This window comes from Homo sapiens, chromosome 1 (assembly GCF_000001405.40).
Source record: "Homo sapiens chromosome 1, GRCh38.p14 Primary Assembly".
NCBI classification, from domain to species: Eukaryota; Metazoa; Chordata; class Mammalia; order Primates; family Hominidae; genus Homo; species Homo sapiens.
In genome coordinates, this window is record NC_000001.11 from 16190978 (window position 1) to 16197247 (window position 6270).

Genomic DNA, 6270 nt, shown 5'->3' on the forward strand with positions numbered 1-6270 from the left:
ATTCCTGCTGCCCCACATCCTGACAACACTCTGTGTGGGGCCCTGCACTTCACCTGTTTACTTGTCTGTCTCACCATTAGGGAGTGTCACCAAGGATGGGGATGCTGCTGATGTCCTTTGGTCCATAGGTGACACAATCAGAGAGGAGAATGAAGGGGATTGGAAAGATGGAAAGAGAGCTGGGCGTAGTAGTGTACGCCTGTAGTCCCAGCTACTCGGTAGGCTAGGACAAGAATCACTTGAACCCAGGAGGTGGAGGTTGCAGTGAACTGAGATCGTGCCACTGCGTTCCAGCCTGGGCGACAGAGCAAGAAAAAAGAAGGGAAGGAAGGGAGGGAGGGAGGGAGGAAGGAGAAGGAAGGAGAAGGAAGGAAGAAATGAAGGAAGGAAGAAGGAAGAAAGGAAGGAAGGAAGAAAGGAAGGAAGGAAAGAAGAAAGGAAGGGAGGGATGGAGGGAGGGAGGGAGGGAGGGAGGACATCAACAAAGAAGCAAGCCACACTGTCTGCCCCAGAGCTGAAGTGCCTGCTGGGCTGAAGCCAGGGCTCACTGGTTCTTATGAAACCTCAGTGTGCCCTGAAAATGAACAATCAAATAAGTTTCTTTCTCAACAGTTTCATTTCAGGACAAAATCTTCTAAACAATAGGCTCAGAGTTTGGGGACCAGGAGGAATGAGGAGGGGTAGCAGGGTCCCTACAGTCTCTGCAGAGCAGGATCGCTGCAGAGAAGGGCATGGGCACTGGGTGGGGAGGAGCTCCTGAAGGACTGGAGACTGGCTGGGCAGACAGCCTCAGGGGCCAAAACTCCCACCCCAGACGCCATCTCCAGGTCCTGTCCTGCAGATACCACCCCCCAGCTTCCTCCTCCTTCTGCGGCAAGCAGGAGCAGGGCCCTGGGTCCTTGGCCAAAGCCCTACCAGGGCAGGGCATGATGGGCAGAGGCAGGCACCACTGAGAGAGGGGCTCCCCTGAGATGCCTGGCCCAGATCTACCCCCTGGGCAGGTGGGCAGGGAGCAGGTGAGGAATGAGGGAAGTGGGCCAGGTGAGCAGCCCTGGCCTCCTTGCCTGAAGCACAGCCCCAAAGCCAGCCCCCTGGCCCCCAGCAGTCTAACCCAGACTCAGGTGTCAGCCAGATTCCAGATGTGCCAGGGCAGGCTGAATGCAGGAGAGCCTGTTTCCTCTGCTCTGCCAAGCTGCTGCCAAGTTGGGCGCTCTTCAGGCAGACTCAGCACTGGAAGAAACACACAGGCCCCTTGGTCTCTACTCAGTACAGGAATCCCATTCCCAGACTGCCTGAGTTCCTTCAATCCTCAGGGGACGGGGGCCTCCCCACCTCGCAAGGGCCCCCATGCTCTGGCTGTGCAGCTCTGACACAATAAAAGCCACCACTTCTCTTGACTAATTATGGGCCAGACACTGTGTCAACCACTTACATACTTCATTTCATGGTGGCTCCATGAGGCAGGAAACGTTATCACCGTCCCCATTTTGCAGATGGGGCTTGGAGCCTTAAAGAGGCTGTAAAGAGAGTTGGTGTCTTGCCTAAAAATCACATGGTGCGTATATACACACACGTATATATTATATATGTATACATACATTATATATGTAAGTATATATTATATATTAACATATATGTATACATGTGTATTTATGTATACATGTGTATTTATATATACATATATTTATATATGTGTATACATAGAGACACACATATATGTATATACATATAGACATATATGTGTATCTATATGTATACACATATATAAATATATGTATATATATGTGTGCGTGTGTGTGTGTATATATCTATCTATCTATCTATATATATATTTCCCACCTCTGTCTGATGAGAGGGCCTAGAAGCAGTGACGCCTCAGCAGCAATAAGCACACCCTGTCTCTAAAATAAAAGGATCAGACTCCTTGGAGAAATGGCTGATTCTAGCACTGAGGCAGGAAAAAATGCAAGGTGATTCCAGAGCATCTTGCTCTGGAATGCAGCGCAAGAAAGCAAGGAAATGCTCAAAAAACAGAAAGATGGGGGCATGTCAAACAGACACAGGAGCTCATCTGAAAGAGCTCCTAATGGCCAAAGCCGGAACCATCTGAAAAATAAAATAACAGTCTGGGCATGGTGCCTCATGCCTGTGATCCCAGCACTTTGGGGGGCAGAGGCGGGTGGATCACCTGAGGTCAGGAGTTCGAGACCAGCCTGGCCAACATGGTGAAAGCCCATTTCTACTAAAAATACAAAAATTAGTCAGGCGTGATGGTGCACTCCTGTAATCTCACCTACTCTCGGGGCCAAGGCAGAAGAATCACTTGAACCTGGGAGGCGGAGGTTGCAGTGAGCTGAGATCACGCCACTGTACTCCAGCCTGGGTGACAGAGTGAGACTCTGTCTCAAAAAATAAAATAAAATAAAATTAAATTAAATTAAAATAAAATAAAATAAAATAATAAATGCAGAGGTCCATGCTGATAGAAATGCAGTCATATGCTGCATAGTGACATTCTACATTGCCAGTCAACAATGGACCGCATAGATGATGGTGGTTCCATAAAGTTACAGCGGAGCTGAAGAATTCCTATTGCCTAGTGATCTGTGTTACAGTACAGTAACGTGCCTACGGTGTTCGGTACAGTAACATGCAGCACAGGTTACCAGGAGCTGTAGGCTACACCACATAGCCTAAGTGTGTAGCAGGCTCCTCCATCTAGGTGCGTGTAACAGCCCTCTATGATGGTCTCACAATGACCAAATTGCCTAACAGTGCTTTCTTTGAATGTATCCACCATTAAGCAATGCATGACTGTAAATGACTTCCCAAATAAATGGAAGGAAAGGAATAAAACTTCCTTACAGAAGAATTCCAAATAATTGGCCCCAAGTATATCCGCCCCCGCCAACTTGAATGTGGGCTCAAATTGCTTCCAAAGAACAGAATTTGAAAAGGGGGCTGGGCATGGTGGCTCATCTCAACCTCATGGGAAGCTGGGGTTAGTAGATCGCTTGAGCCCAGGAGTTCAAGACCAGCCTGGGCAACACAGTGACACCCCGTCTCTACAAAAAATAAAAATAAAATAGTTGGCCAGGCATGGTGGCTTATGTCTGAAATCCCAACACTTTGGTTTTTTTTTTTGTTTTGGTTTTGTTTTGAGACAGAGTCTCACTATGTTGCCCAGGCTGACACAGGTGATCCGCCCGCCTCAACCTCCCAAAGTGCTGGGATTACTGGCATGAGCCACCACACCTGGCCAATCTCAGCACTTTGGGAGGCTGAGGAGGGTGAATTGTTTGAGACCAGGAGTTCAAGACCAGCCTGAGCAACATAACAAGACCTCTTCTCTACAAAAAATTAAAATTAAAAAAATTGACTCACACATGTAATCCTATCACTTTGGAGGCCAAGGCAGGCAGATCACTTGAGCCCAGGAGTTCAAGATGAGCTTGGGGAACATGGCAAAACCCCATCTCTACAAAAAAAAAAAAAAAAAAAAAATTTAGCCAGGTGTGGTGACATGTGCCTCTGGTCCCAGCTACTCGGGAGGCTGAGGTGGGAGGATGGCTTGAGGCTGGGAGGCAGAGGTTGTAGTGAGCCACGATTGTACCACTGGACTCCAGCCTAGGCAATAGAGCCAGACTCTGTCTCAAAAAGAAAGCAAGAGAAAGAGAGAAAGAGAGGCAGGAAAGGAGGGAGGAAGGGAAGAAAGAAAGAAAGAAAGAAAGAAAGAAAGAAAGAAAGAAGGGAAGAAAAAGAAAGAGAGAGAGAAAGAGAGAAAGGGAGAAAGAAAGGGAAAGGGAAAAGGAGAGAGAAAGGGAGAAAGAAAAGAAGAAAGGAAAGAAAGAAAGAAGGGGAAGGAAGGAAGGAAGCTGGACGCGGTGGCTCCCGCCTGTAATCCCAGCACTTTGGGAGGCCAAGGCGGGCGGATCACGAGGTCAGGAGATCGAGACCATCCTGGCTAACACAGTGAAACCCCATCTCTACTAAAAATACAAAAAATTAGTCGGGCGTGGTGGCGGGCACCTGTAGTCCCAGCTACTTGGGAGGCTGAGGCAGGAGAATGGCGTGAACCTGGGAGGCAGGGCTTGCAGTGAGCTGAGATCGTGCCACTGCACTCCAGCCTGGGCGATAGAGCAAGACTCCATCAAAAAAAAAAAAAAAAAAGAAGAAGAAAGAAAGTAAGAGAAGAGAGAGGAAAAAGAGTAACTTCATAAAAGAAAAACCTGGCAGACACCACCTTCACCAAGTCATCAAGGCTAGCATTGCCAGAGACGAGTCACGTGGACATCGCGTGCCTCCTGGCATCACGTGATGAGAAGCGCACTTTATTTACCTCTGTGGTATTCCTCCCCCAAACCCATAACTCCTGGCTAGTCATGAGAAAAACATCAGATAAACCCAAATTGAGGGATAGTCCACAGACCAGAACTTCTGAAATTGTCAAGGTCATGAAAACCAAGGAGACACTGAGAAACTGTCACAGACCACAGAAGACTAAGACACGGCAACTAAACGCAATGTGGGATCCTGGATTGGATCCTGGAACAGAAAAGGACATTAGTGGGAAAACTGGTGAAATCCGAATCAAGTCTGGAGTTGAGTTAATAGCAGTGTACCAGTGTTGGTTTCTTAGTTTTGACTACTGTACCGTAGTCACGTAAGACGCTAACAATGGGGGAAGTTGTGAAAGGGGTGGATGGAACTTTCTGTACCATTGTTGCAACTGTTCTATAAACCTAAAAGTATTCCAAAACAAAAAGTTCATTTCTTAAAATCACATGGGATATAGATGTCAGAAGCAGAATTCAAATTCAAGGCTGGAGGCTGGGCGCAGTGGCTCACGCCTGTAATCTCAGCACTTTGGGAGGCTAAGGTGGGTGGATCACCTGAGGTCAGGAGTTCGAGACCAGCTTGGCTAACATGGTGAAACCCTGTCTTTACTAACAATACAAAAAGTAGCCAGGTACGGTGGCACACACCTGTAATCCCCACTACTCGGGAGGCTGAGGCAGGAGAATCACTTGAACCTGGGAGGCAGGGGTTGCAGTGAGCTGAGATTGCACCACTGCACTACAGCCTGGGTGACAGAGCAAGACTCCGTCTCGAGAAAAAAAAAATCAAAAAAACAAAAAACAAAAAACAAAAAAATTCAAGGCTGGGCATGATGGCTCACACCTGTTTTCCCAGCACTTTGGGAGGCTGAGGCAGGAGGATCACTTGAACCCATGAGTTCAAGACCAGCCTGGGCAACACATGGCAAAATTTCAACTTAAAAAAAATTTAATTAGCTGGGCAGGGCGGTGCACACCTGTAGTTCCCGCTACTCAGGAGGCTGAGGCGGGAGGATTGCTTGAGCCTGGGAGGCTGCAGTGAGCCATGATCACACTACTGCACTCCAGCCTGGGCAACAGAGCAAGACCCTGTCTAAAAAATAAAAAAATAATAAAAAAATTTAAAAAATTCCAATGTGTCTGCTTCCTAAGCCCACATGCTCCTTCGTCCCTATACTACACCATGATAGAAAGTCATTCCCAGAGACTTCCTCATGGATCTGAGCTTCTCCCCACCTGTCCCACGTTTGCCCTCTGGATCACCCTGACTCACCTGTTTTCTTTGCCCCATGACCTCCCTTGGAGGGTTGAAGGATGCTCCCAGCCCCACAGGTGTTCACATCTCCAAGTTCATTATTCCCAGGCCCTTCCACTCTTTTGGGTGATGTAATAAGCATTGGCCTCTCTAGCACCCACCCCTCCTTTGCAGCAGCCACCACGTTCCACTTGGGGATCCACGGGATTCCAGGGAAGACAACTCCCCAGCCTGGCTCCAGGGATAGAGCACAGGACTTAGGCTAGGCCCATCCGCACCGCCATGATCAGCCCAGAGGTAGCCATGTGAGCCAAGCTGATCCAACCAGAGAGAATCCCAGGACTCTGGGAAGGCTGAGACAAGGACAATTCTCTTATTCCATGTTTGATGTGAATGAAGAAGCCCCTGGAAGCCTTAGGATAAAGCCAACACCAAGGACAACAGAGTAGAAAAATGGAAAGATCTGGGTCCTCAGTGACATCATTGAGCCACTGGATCAAGCCTTGCCTGAAGCCTGCATTGGTTCTATACTTCTCAGTGACAAAAACTGTGGGAGGGGCTGGGCATGGTGGTTCATGCCTATAATCCCAGAACTTTGGGAGGCCGAGGCAGGTGGATCACTTGAGGCCAGGAGTTCAAGACCAGCCTAGCCAACATAGTGAAACCCCTTATCTACTA